Source organism: Homo sapiens, chromosome 16, assembly GCF_000001405.40.
Source record: "Homo sapiens chromosome 16, GRCh38.p14 Primary Assembly".
NCBI lineage: Eukaryota > Metazoa > Chordata > Mammalia > Primates > Hominidae > Homo > Homo sapiens.
In genome coordinates this window covers 6,005,442-6,025,515 of record NC_000016.10, presented here as the reverse complement: position 1 = coordinate 6,025,515, position 20,074 = coordinate 6,005,442, and the positions used below count along the sequence as shown (strand labels likewise).

At 45.2% G+C, this 20,074-nt stretch overlaps 1 protein-coding gene across 16 annotated transcripts in view, besides 1 other annotated feature; it reads right to left on the bottom strand.

Moving 5' to 3' along the window:
* The window catches only part of RBFOX1 (RNA binding fox-1 homolog 1), a 2,473,620-nt gene that overhangs the window by 1,687,825 nt on the left and 765,721 nt on the right, over nt 1-20,074 (bottom strand). For 7 of the 16 annotated variants that reach the window (NM_001415895.1, NM_001415891.1, NM_001415907.1 and 4 more), the window contains exon 1: nt 5,615-6,492. The exons of 4 other annotated variants lie outside the window; for them this stretch is intronic. In NM_001415895.1, coding sequence (NP_001402824.1) covers nt 5,615-5,617 — 3 coding nt within the window. In that variant the 5' untranslated portion in view covers nt 5,618-6,492. Of the gene's footprint in view, nt 1-5,523; nt 6,493-20,074 lie in introns of those variants that run through there. 5 more of the 16 variants (NM_001364800.2, NM_018723.4, NM_001142333.2 and 2 more) reach the window with 2 other exon arrangements.
* Nucleotides 1,502-2,701: an enhancer, noted in NCBI's record as "BRD4-independent group 4 enhancer chr16:6072816-6074015 (GRCh37/hg19 assembly coordinates)". NCBI's record gives its function as "activates an origin of replication core promoter dependent on BRD2, P300/CBP, MED14 and CDK7 cofactors, and independent of BRD4, by STARR-seq in HCT116 cells {active_cell/tissue: HCT116}" and the evidence as "EXISTENCE:reporter gene assay evidence [ECO:0000049][PMID:35650434]".

Genomic DNA, 20,074 nt, shown 5'->3' with positions numbered 1-20,074 from the left:
CAGGCACACAAGAACACATGATGTTGCCTCTTTGAAGGGAGGCCCCAGAGAAAGAAAATCTAAGTAGGCTAATGTATACAGATGTATCCTCCCAGGGTCTTCCACCCTCACACAAAGAACATTACTGGAAAATGAGGTTCTTTTTCCCTATAAAGTAATCCCTCTTCTTGAATGAAAGATTTTAGTGTAAGCCCTACGAAGTAGGTGGTGGTGGGGAATCGAGTTTAATTTCTCAGACGTTGCAAGGCTTACCTTTTCAGATGTCACTACGTCCACAGACCAAATCTGGTCATAGAAATGAATTGAAACTTTGAAAAAATAGAGCCGGCCGGCCAGGAAGGCATGCTTGTTTATTCACTCATCTCAAAAACACCTAACAATTTTCCCATAATGTTTAAGACATAAATATATCCTGGTATCTCTCTGCATAAAATCCCCCAATGGTTTCCCATTAGAATAACAGCCAGGGTCCCTTCCCAGGCCACAAGGGCCTATAGGACCAACCTTCAACTGTATGATTTTGTCACTATTCCAGCCTCTGGATCGTTGTGCTTGTTGGTCCCCTTCTCTGAAACGCCCTCCATGCAGACAACTATCCTAGAACGGAAGTCTTTTAGGACAAGGTATCTGCATGTATTGATCACTCTGCACTTGAAGTGCTTTCAATAGTGCTTGGCACACAGTGGGTGCCTGATGAACACTCAGGAATTCATAGAAAGTAGGGGTGAATGAGGCTGGGCGTGGTGGCTCACGCCTGTAATCCTAGCACTTTGAGAGGCCGAGGAGGCGGGTGGATCACTTGAGGTCAGGCGTTTAAGACCAGTCATGGGGAAACTCCATCCCTACTAAAAATACAAACACTAGCCAGGCGTGGCAGAGCACACCTGTAATCCCAGCTACTCAGGAGGCTGAAGCATAATAATCACTTGTACCCAGGAGGTGGAGGTGGCAGTGAGATGAGATCACACCACTGTACTACAGCCTGGGATACAACGTGAGGCTCTGTTTCAAAAAAAAGAAAGCGGAGATGAGTAGAATACTCATTGGATAAATGTATGGATCCATACAGATCAGCTACTTCTTTTCATGTACTTCTCAGGTCAAATCTCTCCTCTCTGGAATGTCCCCCCAAGTCACTATCACACTATAATTTTTGGAACCCTTTTCATTATCCTTATGAAAATATATTTCAACGTCTTGCTTATGACGCGGCTTCCCCCACGACAATATAAGCTACAAGAAAGGAAAGTTCTCGTCTGCCTTATTCACCAAGCACAGGGTCTAACATGTGGTACATTCCAAATAAATATTTCTTGCATTAGCCACTCCTTCCCCTAAGACAACACACTCTTCTGTAGCAGCAGGCCACAGTCACCCATGTCTCTTTGACTAGCGAACAATGACAAACCAGTGGTAATGAGTGACAGTGCTCACAATGACTACAGATTCAAAAAATGAGGACAGTTGCCTGTGTATATAACTCCACGCGTCATTTTTCATAAAAACTCCTAGCCCTACGACCGAGTCTAACTGTGTTCACAGTTGACATCATCTGAAAGTGCTAGATCCCCTTGTTTTGAAGCTCCATCACTGATTGATTCTTTAATTAAAGTTTTAATATTTATACCTGTGCCTCGAGGCAGTATTTTAAATAATGGAGGTAGACATTGGGAAGAGCCTCGTGGCTTCTTTAAAAACGTCGCCTCGGTGTTTGAGGTCTCCGGCACGACACTGTGGGTAAATGTGAAAGCGACAGATTAAAGGATGATTTTAGGAAAGTCAGCCAGTATTAATTTGTGGATGATGCTTACTGTGTAACTCCCATGCTGGGTGGCAAAGGCAGGACGAGCTGCCCTCTGTCCTTCAGAGCAAACGTGCTAGGATTTCAATAGTCTCCTTACACGCCACTGGGAAATCGCTGCGTCTCCAAAGTATTTTCTGTGTCAAATACGATTTCCCTCTTGGAATGTGTTCATTACTCCACACATCAGCTTAAAGGATGCAAACGAAATGGTCTAATTTTTGGAAAGGTGAAATGTCAGATTCCTATACAGGGCAGACCCAATTTTCTGGATACAAAAAATATGTACTATCAGAAAGGACTTTGATAAAATATAATAGCTTGGGATGGTTCGAGCTAAAAGGACTAAGCTTAATTTTTTTCTAAAATCATCAGAGACATGAGGATGTCTAGAAGACCTGTGCTCAAACCTTACAGGAGCAGGTTCTATATATATATATATATATAGCTTCAATTATAATGAGAAGAAAAATAGGGCAGAGTGGGTCAATTCCAGGAGGAGAAACCCGCTCAGACCCATGTTTCAGCTTCATTTCTGAGTGGAAAACTCTGTAGCTTCAGGGTGATGTAAAAAACTGTACGTTCTACGGACAGCAAGATTTATTACAACATTACTGAAACTTTATACCTGTTGATTAGATCAGCAAATCCTCATTTCCCTGGCCCCTGAGACCCTGGCCACAACCTTCTACTCTCTGCTTCTATGAGTTTGACGATTTTAGATCCCCGAATCCCTCATGCAGTAAAGGTAAATAACTCCTTGACATCTCCTATACAATACTATCCTTAAAACAGTCATGTATGATATACTTAGAAATCTTTTCACAGGGTACAGCCCATGTTGTGTTCTTGCCACAACAAAACTAAAATTCTTTCTAAAAACTGGATCAAGGTATTTGTGCATTCAGTTCATTTATGGGCAAATGTGTGCCACAGATGTTTATATGTTTATACAATTAAATACTATCACAAATTGTTTAGATACTATCACAAATTGTTTTTTGTTTGTTTGTTTGTTTTGTTTTGTTTTTGAGGCAGGGTCTCATTCTGGTCACCCAGGCTGGAGTGCAGTGGCGTGATATCGGCTCACTGCAGCCTCAACCTTCTCAGGCTCAGGTGATTCTCCCACTTCAGCCTCCAGGGTAGCTGGGATTACATGTGTGCACCACCACACCCATCTAATTGTTTGTATTTTTAGTACAGACAGGGTTTTGCTAAGTTGTCCAGGCTGGTCTTGAACTCCTGGACTCAAGCAATACGCCCACCTCAGCCTCCCAGAGTGATGGGATTACAGGCATGAGCCACTGCACCTGGCCACAAAATTTTATATCTAAACATACTAATTGCAATGTGTGAATCCCAGGAGGAATGATAAAGCCACTTCTAATATTCTTCGATTCTTGTGTTTTCAAAATATTCTATGTATTAAATAAATGATGTTCTAATTAAAAAAAAAAAAACAGATTTGCTAAGGTAATACTTTCATCCCAGGGGGCCAAGGAGATCAAGTCCTTTCAGTGGGTCAGAAGAAATGTACAACTGCTGCAAAAACTTAATTTCAGGTGCTTGTCAAGACAGCAAGTCAAATGCCACCAACCTATATCTTGGCCAGTGGGTGGGCAGCTTGTCCGTGATCCTCCTTGGAACATGCAGAGAGCAGAATGGGAGAGCTTGAGGCTTCTGTTCCTTACTTAAAAGAAAACGTGTGTGTATAAGGCAAGCCACCTGCCTTTCCTGTACCACTCGGTGCTACAAGGCTCAAAAATTAGAGGAATCTACTTGAAAGAATAAAGAAACAAAACTCATAGAATTCAGGCACTTACCATGTGCCAAACTGTTCTAAATGTTTAGTGCTTTAAGTAATTTACCCCCAAACCCTCTGAGGACAGAACTACGACTGAAACTCTGATTTTACAGGTGACAACCCGAAGCTCAGAGAGGTAAAGCAACTTGCCCAAGGTCACACAGCTGGCAGATAACGGATCCAGAAGCCCTGTGCTCTTCTGAGCCATAAAGCTCCACTCTCTGGACCCCTAAGGTGTCACTTCCACTACCGCGAGGAATGATGACTTTTCTTCCTAACCCGAGGCAACCATAAGCTAACTTAAGGAAAGCCCAGGGGATTCTTCCAAACGGAGGGCCTCCCTGACGAGCTCAAAGAGGACACAGGTTTTGAGTCAGCCCCACTTTTTACCAGCACAGCCACTGCCAGCACCACCTTTACCCTTCACAGGCCCCAGGTCCTTTGCTTCTGAACATAAAAGATCTTAGCTAAAAATAAATCTGCCAGTAGCTCCAGCCGGGGCCTCTGTGGTCACTTAAAAATTGAAAGAATCCAGGCCCTCTCATCTTTTTTTTCTCTCTTTTGTAACAAAGATAAAATGATAAATGGAGGGGAGATGAACTAGGACAGGGGGCAGGGAAGGGATGGCAGGCTGGGGCATGTCCTAAACTTGGGCTGTCAAGGCCAGGCCTCTCTGCACAACGGAGTTTAAAAATAAAAATAAACAATCATTATTCTAATAAAGGAAAACCCAAGTTAGGAGACATGATGTTTCAACTCAACAAAGCTATTTCACCACACTCCCCCACTTCTTTTCAAGTTCAACTGAAAAGATCCGCCTTTGGGGTGCCAATTGCCCGGACTGCCTGACCAGGATTTCCAAGCTCTTCAGTAGCCGCACCCCAGATGTTCCAGTGCCAGCAGGTGCACCCCAGCTCTGGCCCACACAGGAGCGATGAGCTCTCCCAGCCCCCTGACCATTCCCTGGCAGCAAGGAATGGAGCTGGGGGCTCCAGGACAAGGTTAGATCGGGGTCTTCCCCTCCCTTGCTGAGTGGACAGCTTCCGGGCTCCGCGTGACACCTGGTCCCCGCAGCTGGCGCCAGGGAGGCTCCAGGAGCTCACAGCCAAGTGGCCTCCTGGGCGGTGGGGAGATGGGAGCGGCGCCCCACTAGCCCCGCCCTCGCTTCCATAGCTGGACAATTGGTTGATTGGAGCTGACAAGCCCCCCCCTGGCCTGCACAACAACACAGGGCTAAGATCTGCTACCCCTGTGTTTCCTTCTCTGGGGTGAAGGTTCTCTAAGGCTCCCAGGAACCAGGGGCACAGTAGGAGTTTCCCATTCGCAGGTTTCCCGGCTGGCCCCCTCCCCTGGGGTCGAGGTGGCACCGCGGGGCATCGATTCCAGTGCCAGTAAACACAGCGGCGCTTTCTCCACATAAGTGAGCCTTCTCTTCCCCTCCTCCCACAAGGGGTTCGGGGCACCTAAACACCCTCCCGGGTCACTAAGATGCCTCCTCCTGCACACCCTGCGGGCGGAGGCAGCGGTCCGGGGGCGCGCTGAGTGCACGCTTGCAGCCGGCCAGGGAGACTAATCAAAGTGCGCAGGCAGGCTCCCGCTGCTCCTGGCACCTAGGACTCGCTCCCAGGAGGACGGACGAGGTAGCCTGGATGCTTCGGAGGGGCGCTCTGGGGCAAGGAAGGACGTGCTTCTGGAAGCGACGCACAAGGGGGCTCAGGGTCTCGGCCTCCTGGGGGTAGGGGGGGACACGCCTCGAGATCTTTCCACACACCCTGAAAAAGTTCCCGTCCAGAGCGCCCAGACTGGCGCTAGGAGGAGGCCAGTTCTCGGGGACCTAGCGCTTCCCTCCATGAGACCTTCTGGACCTGACCCACCAGGTCAGGGTGGGTGCAGAGGCAATGACTCCGCCTGGACTTACCTAGAACTCCCGGCGAGCCCGGCTGCGGTCACGTTCTCGGCCCCAGACCCCCGAATTCCCGTGCGCTCTCTGCACCCCCAGCCACACTCACCATAAGCTGGAGGCGGCGGAAGGGGGTGCTGGTTTCTCACGCACTGTCCGCAACTTCGCGGGCAGGTCAGCCCCGCCCTGGCGCGCCTGCCTGGGCGCGGCGAGGGTCCGGACAGGCGGGGACCCTGGCGGCCACTGGGTGGGGGTCTGGAGCGCAAGGACTCTCAATCCCGGGCGCGCGGTCCGCTCCTGCTCTCTCTGCCTGGGCAAGAAGCTCGGAGTTCTCCTGCTCCGGACGCCGGGGCGGGGCCCACGGCTGGCTGTCCCCTCCAGATGTGGGGTGCTCGGCTCGGCTCACTCCTTCCTTCTTCAGCCCCGGAGGCGCGCGCGTGGGTCCAGCCAGTGCCGCCGCCTCTGCTGTTCCCGGGGCTGGCAGAGCGCCCCCGCCCCACCGCGGGTGCTGCTGGGGGGCTGGGGCGGAGGGGGAGGGATTCCCCTCCGCGAGTTCGGGTTTCCCCACCCGACGCGGCCCCTGGGCTCCGTCCGCCGTCCGCCACCCTCCGCGCTGCTTGGAGAACCACTTCAGGGCAGCGCAGCCAGTCCCACCGACTCTGGCTGGAGGAGGCGGCGGCAGCGCGGCTCGCACGGGGACTGGAAAGGAGGTGACCTTCAAACCCCGCGCTCGGGAGACCAGGAAGGGGGCTGGGGTGATCGAGGGAGCGGTGTGTGCACCCAGACGGCCAGCAAGAGCGCTTGTAGGAGGGCGGGAGAGAATAAAGAGGAAATCTTCCAGTAAAAATATAGATTAGAAAATAAACAAAGGAGAGCCGGAGAGAGCGCGAGAAAATGTGTGCATGTGTGTGTGTGCGTGTGTGTCTGTGTGTGTGTGAGCGCGCGACAAGCAGCGAGCAGCCCCGGCTGCGGAGCCAAAAATAATCTGGTGCGCGAGGGAGCGCCCCCTCCCCCTTCCCCTCGCCAGCGCCGCCGCCGCCGCGGTCACGCGTGCAGCCCTGGATTCCAGCGGGCGGCGGCGGCGGACACGCGACCCGGTACCCTGGTCTCCTGGCCTAAAGGGGACAGAGGGTGAAAGTTGGATGCTGGGGCAATGAGCCCAGGACTTTCACCTGCGCCCGTCCTCGTCCTGGTAGTCCCCAGGTGGGCTCACTCATTGAGCACCAGCGCCCTCCTCCCAACCCCAATCAAAGTAGACAAATCCCCCACTAGAGACGCCAAGTGGAGGCAGCTTCTTGCCCCAGTCCATTTCTTCTCTGAGGAAGTTTTCTGGCAAGTCTTCAAATCTTCCGGCCAGGCAGAGATCGAGCCCTATCCAAGATTCAAAAAGTTCTCCAGGCTGGATGGGATGCAGGGCTGGGGTGGGTGCGGCTGGCCTGGGACGCCCCCACCCCGCACAGCTGGGCCTCTCCTGTCCTGCCCCCTTCCTGGCCACCTACTCCCGCAATGGACGCTGAAGGGGTCTAGGGATTGTCCTCCTAGCAGATGTCTTACAGCCAGAAGCCCCATGACGCCTTAATACACACTAGCACTTAATAAGCATTTACTTTCCACCAGATGCTGTTTTAAGCACTTTACATGGAGTCTTTTCAACAACTGGAAGTAGATACTGGAGGTTTATCCATTTCACAGATGCTTAGAGAGATTAAAGCAATATTTCTCCCTTCCTGGGTCCCACTCTGGACTGGAGTGAGAAACTCTGCTCTTCCCCTACCTTTTCCTTTCCCTCCCTCCCTTCCTTCCTCCCTCCCTTTCTTCCTTCCTCCTTTCCTCCCTTCCTTCCTTTCTCCCTTCCTCTTTTTTCCACAAATATTCCAGGGGGTTTTGTTGTACAATAAAGTCAGTCTGAGGTTCAGTGAGTTGTAATTTGTTCAAGGTCACATAGCTGGCAAGGAACCAGGACTCCCCAGGCAGTCTACCTCATTTTATGTGGCACCACCCTGCCTTCTGAAGGGCAGGTGGCATTGGACAAGGCCAGATTCCAGCCTTGAGCACTTGATCTGAGGCGCCTGTTCATTTTCCCATCCTGTGATGTGACTGTGTTTGCACTTATACCATGGATCCTCTTATAAGAAATGCTGTAAGCTTTCCAAAACAGGGGGCCATGTGATGTGCATTCCTTTGTACTAGATGTACGTGTATTTCCTAGCGCCCATCAAGGAGCAGATTCCTTAAGGGTTCCTCTTGCAATCCTATCGGGCTGCGGTTTCTTTCAACCTCAGAATAAAAGAAAGGGAACTTCTGCCTATAACTATATTACTTTTTAAAGCACGCAATATTTAATCATCATTTGAAAAAGTAAGTTTGCAAAATCCAGAAAGATATCTTTATCATTGGTCCCAGCGATTTTGCAATTTGGGTTGATTTTTACCATATGTTTCCTTAGGATTCTCTTTGATAATAATATATTTGTATGTAAGCAATTTTTTTTTCTTTATACTAGTCTCATCCTTCAGTGATAGCAAAATGAAACCATAAATCTGGGTTGGTAACATCATAATCATTTCCCCCAGAAACTGTTCACAATGGGAAAACCGCCGAATTTAAATGTAATTGTCTAGCCATGCAGGGAGATGAGATGGGTTGTAAAAGAGGTATTCTCAATTTAAAAGCAAATTATCAATAATGATAGAAGAAATAAATGGCAGTTAACGGGAAATTCTGTTGGAATATACTGTTTTGTGCAAATTCACCAACAGGAATTGTTTGTCTATTCTCCTTCATTTTTTATTCCAGAAAGGAACAAATGAATGCAATCATTCAAGGCAGTAACATCAGCTGTTGTTACATTAAAATGGGTAATTGCTGGGCCCTTTGATTATTTTTAATACATATATATATTTACCATTGGAAATAAAACATATTCATCTATCTGAAAATCAAGTTCAGCTTGAGTCTGCTCTGATTTATTTATTGTAGAGTAGAAATAGGCTTAGATAGATTAGTGATGAGTGTCAGGCATGACTCACTGGTACCTGTATTGCTACATGGCTTAAGAATATGAGTGTGAGAGGCATCCATTACAATTTAAAACAAAATTAGAGTAAAGATCAATATGGCATGCCATTATGCTATTCATTTGGAAAGTATTAGTTTCTTTCTCACAATGACCTTTCGCATTCCAAGTAGAGTTTTTCCTGTCATTTCTCCATGTTGAGCCACTGGAAGATAAATGAGAGGTGCTGAAGTTGACAGCTCCCAGGACAACCTAGGGCCAAGAATCGCCCTGCTATGGTTAGAAAGAACCTGGAGACTTTGGCTCCTCCTACTGGACATGAAAAATACTTTCCAATTTGTGATCTAAGCAAATGTCAAAAATGGTACCTTTCATAAAGCTGGTTTAAAAAGAACAAGGACTTTGTAGCCTTGTGCTTGGCTGAGAGCTCTCTAAAGTGTAAATTTCATCATCTTACTTTAAAACTTAGGATCTTCCTATAGCTCTTCATTATTCCCCAGGATAAGGTCTAAAGTTGTCCATGTGGTTTACCAGCTCCTGGCTCTTTTTAAGTTCACTCTGTGACCCAGGAGGGCTTTTCTCTTGTTGTATCCAATCTTTTGTATATGTTGTTCCTCCAACCAGGAATACCCTTACATACTCTCTTTTCCTGGATAGCTTCTGTTTAGTTTTTAGATCTCCATTTCAATATCACTTTCTCCCTGCCAATCCCTCAACTCCCTACCCAGCCCCCCATAGGCACAGATAAGGTGTTCTTGCGAACTCCTCTAACACCTCCATTTACCTTTACCCTGTCATTTGTCTCAGCTTACTGTAAATGTTGTTCTCTTCTATTAAACTAAAAGGTCTTTACATCAAAGATTTGTTCCCTGATGCACAGCACCAGCCACATAATAAGCTCAATAAATGATAGGTGAACCTTCCTTCTTTCCTGCAGTAGATTGCTGTCTAAATGGGCTAACCACTTTGGAATGAAATGAGAAGTCAACCTGCTCATCCATTTATGTAGTCCTTTGTTCTTTCAGTCATCAAACATGCATCCTTCTTGAGGCTAGTCCCCCATGTAAACCATTTAGTATATAAACTAGACTCAATTTCTGCACTCGAGAAGCGTACAGTCCAATAGCATATGCAGACACATAAATGAGTGATTGCAACTGTCTTGAAACATTTGGCCAATACGGAGCAGGAGCCTATAGCCAGATATGGCAGAAGGGCAGAAGGTCAGGCAAAGCATTCTAGAGAAGATCGTGTCTAAATAGAGAAGATAAATAGGAATTCCACAGAGAGTTGGGTGATGGATATTCCCGAAGGAGAATACAGCTTATGAAAGTGCCTGAAGCAAAACAGCATAGCTCCTTCTAGGAACAGCAAATCTGTTCAATATAAATAGAGTCCTGTTGAAGTTAAGGGGCTGGACAATGGTGAAAGAGCCAAGAGAGTAGAAGCTGGAACTAAAGATATGGGCTAGGGAAGGCCCAAGGCAGGCTCTGAAATGATTTGTAAGGCGTATTTGCTTTACCACAGGCAGTGGAGAGTGACTGGTTAGCTTTTCAAGATGCACCATTACCATAATGATTTCCACTGCCAGTGCTCTGGGCTTCACTCTGCCTTCACTGATGTTTCAATGACCATTTTCTCCATTATTATCTTATATTTGTTTAATAACTTTTCCAGAAGGTCAGTGTAAACATCCAGTGAATTCCAGGGATTTGTAGATTACTCCAGAGTACTCTAGGATTTTTAAGAGATTATCAGTGATATATTAAACAGAATAGGAAAAGGATGAAAAAAGCAAGCTAAAAAAATCTAAGATCTAAAAATCTAAGAAGGCCAGAGGGTGGTGGCTCTTGCTCATACCTGTAATCCCATCAGTCTGGGAGGCTGAAGTGGGCAGACTGCTTGAGCCTAGGAGTTTGAGACCAGCCTGGGAAACACTGTGAAACCCCATCTCTACAAGAAATTTAAAATATTAGCCAGGCGTAGTGGTGTGCACCTGTAGTCTCAGCTACTTGGGAGGCTGAGGTGGGGGGATTGCTTAAGCCTGGGAGCTTGAGGCTACAGAAAGCTGCAACCACACCACTGTACTCCAGCCTGGGCAAAAGAGTGAGACTTGGTCTCAGAAAAAAAAAAAAAAATCAAGTAGCCAAGCATCCTTTTATTCCTCCTCCCAAGGATACCTTTCAATAGCAGTCACAGAAGAGTTGATACAATACTCAAATGTATCCATAAATGACTCTGGGTTCAATAACATGATTTGCACAATTTAAATATTATATAAGACCTACTTTGCCCACAAGTTCTCAGTCTTCAGACTTACCTGAAGGCTTTCTCACAAACGGAGTCAACTAATGAACTAATTAAAACAGTCAGTCTGAGGACCACAGGGGAATGGATTGCACCTTATATTCTCTGTTCCCCCCTCAGTCCTTGGGCACATGGCAGATACTCAATATATAGTTATTGATTGCTTGAACTCACTCACCATCTATCGTGTAGGTCAGGGTTTTGATATTAACCAAGGCATTTAATACTGAGAATGAGCTATCTGGTGTCCACAGATGAGGTCTCTTTTTTGTGAAAAGACAGCAACTTTTGCACTCTGTTTCAATGTGTCTTTGAAATAGTAAACATGATAGTTTTTCCTCTTCTACTTGGGCTCATTCCTTTTCCTCTCCTGCCTTCATCCCCTTAATAAGATGGAGAAAATACTAATGGTAGCAAAGACAGCACCTTAAGCAATGGTCATGATGATAACAAAAACAGCTACAAAAGCAACAAGCATGTGGTATTTACTATATAAGCTCTTTGATTGTATCATCTCATTTAGTCCTCACAGTGTAAGTACCATTATGATTTCCTTTTTATTTTTTAATTTTTTTATTATACTTTAAGTTTTAGGGTACATGTGCACAACGTGCAGGTTTGTTACGTATGCATACATGTACCATGTTGGTGTGCTGCACCCATTAACTCGTCATTTAACATTAGGTGTATCTCCTAATGCTAACCCTCCCCCCTCCCCCCATCCCACAACAGGCCCCGGTGTGTGATGTTCCCCTTGCTGTGTCCAAGTGTTCTCATTGTTCAATTCCCACCTGTGAGTGAAAACATGCGGTGTTTGTTTTTTTTTCCTTGCCATAGTTTGCTGAGAATGATGGTTTCCAGCTTCATCCATGCGGCACTATTCACAATAGCAAAGACTTGGAACCAACCCAAATGTCCAACAATGATAGACTGGATTAAGAAAATGTGGCACACATACACCGTGGAATACTATGCAGCCATAAAAAATTATTTCCTTTTTAAATAGATGAGCAAACCAAAGCTTGAAAGGAGGAAATTCAGTGTCTTGCCCAACCTCACAGAGCTGGCTAGTGGTTAGAGTGGGACTCAAAACTTAGTCAGTTTTGTGTCAGAGCCAGGTTCATGAGACATAAATCATGATACAGCTTGTCTTTTTGTTTACTAGGACTCATCTCCATGTAGCCAGGCTTAGAATCATGTCAATGATTCATGATCATGAGGGTGGAGATTCCTAACCAATTGGTCTTAGAGTAAAAAAATACAAAGGGAGGTTCAGTAATCTGCAGCACCAAATGGGAGCCTGCCTATATAAAGAACACTTTGGAAACAAATATTTTGAGCTTCATCAGATTCAAGTAAAAATTCTTAATTTCTTGGCTAATAATAAGTAGAAACTAAGCTGTGTCTTTGATTTAGGGCAGGCTTGTTTATATGCTATTTAGTATAACTTTATGAAACATACTATCATTCATCTTTTAGAAATAACAGAACGGAGCTCATGAGTAGGACAGCCTGCGTTCATATTCCATATCTACTACTTAATAACTATGTGAGCTAAACAAGATTTTTAAAAAACATCACTATTCACTTCCCTGTACATAAAATGGGGACAATGACAACAATGATGATGATGATGATATAATTAACATATTAATAGTTACTATTAATACAATGGACAGTGCAGTTGATTCCCATCTCCAAATATGTGAACTATTCTCCTTGTAAATGACTGCTTCAGGAACTGTCATAGGTTCCCAGTCACGTGATCTAGAAGATTGTTATCACATTTTAGGAAACATTTCCTTTATCCAAGTGAAAGCCACAGGAAAATACATTTTTTTCTTTACTTCCAGATGTTTTCTCATGGGATTTTGACCTCTGGACCCCCCTACAGGTACCTTGCAATGAGCCTGAGGACAAATTAATACTGAAGATGGCAGGGCAGGGAAGAATAAAGGACCAGTAACATCCAGGAAATTGTGAAGCTGCTAAATCAACGGGCTTCCAAAACTACCATACTGCTGCATTCCCTGTTCCATGAGATGACACATCCCCTTTTTGCATTAGCTTGTTGAAGATGACATATTGCCTATAGCAGGGTTTCTTAAACTTAGCACTACTGACATTTTGAGCCAAATAACCCTTTGCTGTGGAGGGACTCCCTGGGCACTGTGGGATATTCAGCAGTATTCTTGGCTTCTACCCATTAAGTGCCAGTACTCCTCCCAAATGTGTACAGATATTTCCAAGTGCTCCCCAAGGGGCAAAATCTTCCCAGGTAGGAACCACTGTTCTAAAGCATCCTCACCAACATGGCGATAGTGGTGGTGGTAACAGAACTACTAATAGTAACATATGAATAGCAATTAGCATACATTTAGCCTTACTATGCACTAGGCACTAGGTCTATACCTCCATTCAGATTCTCATTGAGTCCTCATAACAACACTGTAAACCAGATTACCATCCTCATTCTACAGATGAGGTCTAGAGAAATGAAGACATTTGCTCACAGTCGCCAAGGTAGTAAGCAATTAATTTAGGATCCAAATCCAGCTCAGTGATGATTCTTCTCAACCAGCATTGTCGGGAGAATTAAATGACAGAATCCACGAGAAATTTCTCACCGTTGTGCCTGGCACAGGGTAACAGCTCTGTGGAAGTGAGTGGTGACTTCCTCAGAACAGCCATACAACAGGGTCATCGTGAAGAAATGCAAGATGGTGTGGGCGATGCCACCTTACAAATATTGTAGTTCACTCCTCTCATGCTTCATATTGGGCTGAGTGTTCCAGCCAACACCATTTTACCTCAAACTAACAAAGATGACAAGATCACCACTGTCCATGATAACCCAGACCTGATCACAACCTCCTCGTCTCCAACTTGGAGAGTAAGCGCAAGTCCTCAGCGTGCGTGGTCATTAGCAAAAAGTGGTCACCAGCTTTGCTCACTCACTGATGGATGGTAAATTGGGAGACACATGCAAGCTTCATACTGCTGCTGCTTGGAGCAGCAAGAGGTCATTACATGCCCGTTTAGGACTTGTGCAGAAGAGTAAAAATAAAAATATTTTTGAGAACATACTCTATGCCAAGCCTGAGACATGACCTTTAACTACAGAGAAGCCTACACGGCAGTTGTAGTACTATTCCCATTTTACAGATAAGGAAAACTGAGGCTCAGAGGAAAATAAGTAAATTTTCAAAGCTTACAAACTTAAGCTCAAGACTTCGTTTTTAAATCTTTAACAGTCTGATATACCCAAAACCTCTGTTTATGTATAGGGGATCCAAAGGCCAATAAAAAAAAAACACTCTGTAAATTTTCTAAAGTTCCACTAGAAATCATTTTGTAAAAACAAAGGCTGTTTTAAATAGCTCCATCTAAAGTCAACCATGAAGGTTAAAAATGAGACTTATCAAGAGGCAAAAAAAGTTGCGAGTCAATGAGGTGTAAATAGTTAATGAATTTATAATCAGAACATACATAGCTTTGCCTTAATGTACTAACACCTCAGGGGCGAAAATGTTCCCTCTATTAGCAGCACAGAGTATTGACAATCGATTTCTTTCAAATGCACTTAACTTTAAGTCCTAGTCTTTTTATTACAAATGGATAAGTAAAGATATTTAAGCCATTTAGGATGAAATATGCAACCTTACAAAGAAGAGTATGCATTTGCAGTGGTTACTGGTGGGATATAGATGCTCCAAGAAGTAAAATACCTGTAAATTATAGTCACATAATTTACATTTCTGTGCTTCCACTTGTACATTTATTATTTCTATTTATTCCTTATACTTCGATTAAGACACATGAACCACTAAAGAAAAAAAATCACAATCCCTGGGAATGTCTTTTAGGACTATAAAGTAGATAATATGAGGGCAATATAAATAAATGGATAAAATGTTGGATTCTGGAACCTGAACATAAACATCTAACGGATACCGTTTGGGAATTTAGTCAAAACTGAACTCCCTTCCATGAAGCATGTTTACATCCACTTCAGCCTTCTCTGATAGGGTTCTTCTACACCATTGCTTTAGGGGTGGCTCAACAAGCTCTGCTCATTAATCAGCGGACACTCCGTTTGCTTCCTCCAGAAGTCGACCATGAGATAAGTATTTGAATGTCAGTAGTGAACTGGGGAGGTGAAGCCAGGAAACAATGGCCCAATGGCCAGGAGTGGGGAAGTAAATGGAGAAGAGACAGAAGCCAACAAAAAGAATGTCCTCAAGCAAGTTACCACTGTGGGTACCTGGAAATTATTCCAAATAAAGACTTCTTGGAGCTAGTATAAAACATACTCCCCAGAGTTTTCACCCAACCCCACCCCGGGGCAAGGGAGCTGGAATGTACATTCACCAGTTTCCATCACTTATTGGTGACGGTTGGTTATCCTGGGGAGGGGAGGTGTTAATCCTATACCACTTACAGCCTTCCTTGGACATGGGTTGAGCAGAATTCAGCGACCAAAGAGAGTTGTCAGGTGCTGAGATTTGGAAGTCCAGCCTGCATGCATGTTAGCAGAAAACACCTGGGGATACGAGGTGTGGGGCAACACAGCACCCTCAGTATTCTTAATGTCCCCAGGAAGAAAGAAGGGAAACTGTTAGCTTTCCTGCAGCAGCCACGTGCCTGATAAGAAAGAAAAACCCCAGTATCTCTCCTCATCCATGGAGCTCCACTGACGGAATGTCAAAATGTGCTGTGGCTGTCCAACTGCAGTGTATGTAAGACTCATCTGTAATGCTTATCAAAATCCAGATGCTGGGCTCCATGCTGGAGATTCTGATTCAGGAAGTATAGGATGAGAATGGGAATCTGAATTTTCAAATCCCCCTATACACACACACACACACACAGACACACACACACATACACACACTGCCCCATGTCACAGATGTTCCAAATGCCTGATAAGGAATATCAGTGCATTTTGTCCAACAACAGAATAACTTGTGGATAGGCTTGGAGGTGGGGGGAGGAGGGATTTAACGTGATTTTAAGATCTGAGGGCTTTGTGCATGGATATTTCCCTTCTCTGAAAACATGATTGCTTGCTGTGCTCTCAAGCTCTCAGAAAGGAGGTAATTGTTAGCAGGGCTGTCTCTGAAGCACTGATTATGCACCATAAATATATTAAAATCTACAGGTATTTTGCAGGGAACCCATGGGAACACTCAGGAAGTGCCATTTCTAAGTCCCTGGAGCCATAACTAGGACTAAGAAACAGTGATGTAATGTATTAGGAAAAATAAACAAATTAGGCATCAGAAATTCTTGTCCCAGACTGGCAACTGGAGGCAGTCAAGCCCTGTGGAACGTGCTTCTTTGTATCAAAGCCCTACTTGACTCACAGGTGTGAGAGCAAAGTGCAACCACGTGAAAATGAGTTGGCAGTTTTAAGGTGGTAGAAAAATGGAATGAGGTACCATCGTGGCTTTTTGGTAGGTCTTTTTTAGAGACCACGAAGTGGCAGTCATCCTGGACCTGGAATCACTGTTGAAGAATGTTGTGAACCCGTGTGCACAAGAGGCTCTTTTACAATGGACAAGATGGAGAAGAAAAAAAAAAAAAAAGTAAAAGACAAACCATATGCCTTATGATAGCACGTAGAATTTTCTTGCATCCCTCTCCATTTTTAGTCGAAAAGGCATTTCACAGATGTCAGCAGCCATTAATAGACCAATAAAAGAAGGGGTAGCCAACTTGAGAGGCTGTCAATGAGAAAGCCATCCGTCTATTTGATTTCTCTACCTCTTCCTGCTTTGATTCGTCTCTGTGTTCAAAAGCTCTAAGACGAGCTTGCTTGCCATTATTCCGTAAGGCAATTAAGCAACTTGGCAATAAAAGCAACCACATTTTTCCTGGAGCAGTTCACGGAGAACACAGAACAGCACAGGACAGATGTTGAACCAAAACGTAGGTACTTATCTGAACACACTTCTTTGTGCCAAGGCTAAACGCTCTGCCAGGGTGCTGTGTCCATCTTTCCTCTGGGTTCTTTTTTCCAACAGTTAACCCTTCCCTCTGCTCCATCTTCAAACTCCCCTGGTTGTCAGGATATACACATGCTGAAGCTCTGGGATATGACTCCAGCTCCTTCAACTCTTCCTCAACCTTAACCGCAATCTTGATTTGGATGTGCCTCTAACCAGCAAGCTTTTAGAAAATGGTAATCCACATTTATCACCTCCAGTTTCTCCACCTTCTGGTGACCCCCTGCCATTTCCCATTCACACCACTCCACTAAAGCTACTGTCTTAGTATCTTCTTCATGCCGTGCCCATGTGCATTCCTGGATCCCAGCTGCTATTTCTTCATCATAGGATGTATTAACAATCTCCTGGCAGCTCTCTGTGGCTTCAGGAACACCACACTCCTGGCCACCTTCCTGCTTCTGAACTGCTCCATCCCTCTTGTCTCTTTATTCACTCTGCCTACACACTACCTTTTTTTGGGGGGTGGGTGGGGGGGATACAGTTTCACTATGCCACCCAGGCTGGAGTACAGTGGCACCAGCTCGACTCACTGCAACCTCTGCCTGCCAGGTTCAAGTGACCCTCCTGCTTCAGCCTCCTGAGTAGCTGGGACTACAGGTGCATGCCACCATGCCTGGCTAATGTTTTGTGTTTTCAGTAGAGATGAGGTTTCAACATGTTGGTGAAAAACTCCTGACCTCAAGTGATCTGCCCAAGTCAACCTCCTAAGGTGTTGGGATTACAGATGTGAGCCACTGCACCTGGCCCATATCACCTTTCTTAAATGATACTCCTCTCCACTGCGTTCTCCACGAGTTCCCCTAAATCACTTCCTACAGATGTCATCAATGTCCCCACGGCTGCTAGATATCAAAGTTCTGTGCATCCCTCACCTCTTGGCTAAGTTCCCATACCCATATCTCCAGCTCAAAACACATCGTCATCGCCTGGCTATCTTCCAGGCTTCTGGGGCTGCTGTTTATAATCAATCTGTTCATTCATCCCACAAGTATGTATTGAGTGCCTACTATTTACGCAAACTAAAGTGGAAACAAAATATCCACTGTATTAGTTATCTCTTGCTAGTGTTGTTTACTCCAAAAATTAGCAGCTTGAAACAAGAAACATTAACTCACAGTGCCTATGGGTCAGTAAGTAGCATGGCTCTACTGGGTACCTCTCGTTCAAGGTCTCTGGCAAGGCTGGAATCAACATGTCAACTGTGGCTGCAGTTTCATCTCAAGACCTGACTGAAGAAGGATCCAGCTGCCTGCTCAGTCATGTGACTACTGGCAGGATTCAGTTCCTTGGGGGCTTCAGGCTACTGGTCACCCTCAGTGCCTTGTCATGTTAGTATCTCCAGTGGGCAGCTCAGGATGTGGTAGCTGGATCCCCTTAGAGCAGGAGAGCAAGCATCCAAGCGGGAAACTGACTTCTTCTTATGACTCAGTCTTGGAAGTGATATCTCATCATTTCTGTCCTATTCCACTTATGGGAAGTGAATCAATTCATTCACGCCAAGCTGAAAGGGAGATTACACAGACTGCAGATACCAGGAGAGAGGGATCATTTAGTGCCATCTTAGAGGGTGACTGTCATATCCTCATTCCCAGAAAGCTTGGTTCCAGTGAGAAATAATCCTACATGGATGGCAGAGATACGGAAGAAAAGGATGGGGAGAGAGGGTAAATCCATATTGTCACATCCCCATTCCCAGAAAGCTTGGTTCCAGTGAGATATAATCCTACATGGATGGCAGAGATATGGGAGAAAAAATATGGGGAGAGAAGGCGGACCCATGTGACAAAAGAGCTTGTGTGCTGAGCATGCAATTCAACATATGCCCAATTAAACTCTCATTCCCTCCTACAATCCTCTTAGGTTCCCCTCATTTCCACTCATTGTATCTTATCGCCTCTTGTCTGGCCTTGAACAACAGCTTTAGCTGGTATTATGAAAACCCACTCTCCACATATCCAAGACCAATATTTTAAAACACTCCATTTGTCAGGTCTCTCTCTTCCCCTTCTGAGTGACAGAAACTCAACTCAAACTAGTTGAAGCTGAAAATGGGATTTATGGACACACAGGTGTAATAATTATAAGGAAAACTGGCTTTAGGCAATGCTGGAGCCAAATGCTTCATCAGTGAGGACCCTTCTGTCTCCATCTCTTCTTTCTTTCTTCTGTGTCATGGTCCACGTTGGCAGGTTCTCTGGTTACTGCATCAAAATGCCCTCCAATAGGCACAGACTGGCATGTAATATTCTACTGACTACTAACTCCAGCAGAAGGAGAACATTTTTTTCCTTTTTTTTTTTTCCCTACAGTAGGGCTCAAACAAATCCTTGTGTGTGCACTCACTGGTCCAGATGGGATCACATACCCGGGGCTGAACCATCACTGTGACTTGGTGGATGCAGCCCTCTGACCAGCCACATCTGTGGAACCAGAGTACAGATTCAACCCCACCTGAACTATCTGGTCTGAGAAGGGAGGAGAGGTGATTTCCCCGTAGGAAACCGGGTGCTATTACCAGCAAAGTTATACAGATGCTAAACAGCCAAGTAATTAGGCAATACAACACAAATGTTAACACACCACTTATCTAATGAATAACCTCATTGCCTCTCAACCTCTGCACCACCTATAGGATCCAGTTCTAACATCTTTGCTTACCATACAAGACTCTCCATGAATTGGCCCAAGCCTGCCTTCCTAGCCTTGTCTGCTATACAGTCTGATTTCACCCACAAAGAATGACACATTCGTCTCTAAATAGTCTCTTCTGTCATCCCACTGCACCCATTTGCCTGGCATGCTAAACTTCTACTTCATCACCTATTGAGCCATATACCTGACTCAAGACCCAGCTCAAATGCCATTAGCCTTTTTTTAAAATCCACCCAACTCCTCCTGGCTGAATCAGCTGCTCTTTTCCTAACAAATTGTGTAAATATCTCTACTGAACAGACTTTCTCAACAGGGGCAATGTTTTTCCCCCAGGGGCATTTGGCAATGTCTAGAGACATTTTTGGTTGTCATGACTGGAGAAGGGATGCTTGTGGTATCCAGTGGGTAGAGGCCAGGGAGGCTGTTTAATATCCTGCAACACAGAGGCAGTGCCCCACAACAAAGAATGACCCAGCTCAGAACGTCAACACTGCCAAAGTTGAAAACCCTTGTATCACCTAACACTTCATGCCTTGTATTACACCAATCATTTCTGTATCTTCCCAGCTAGACCATGAGCTCC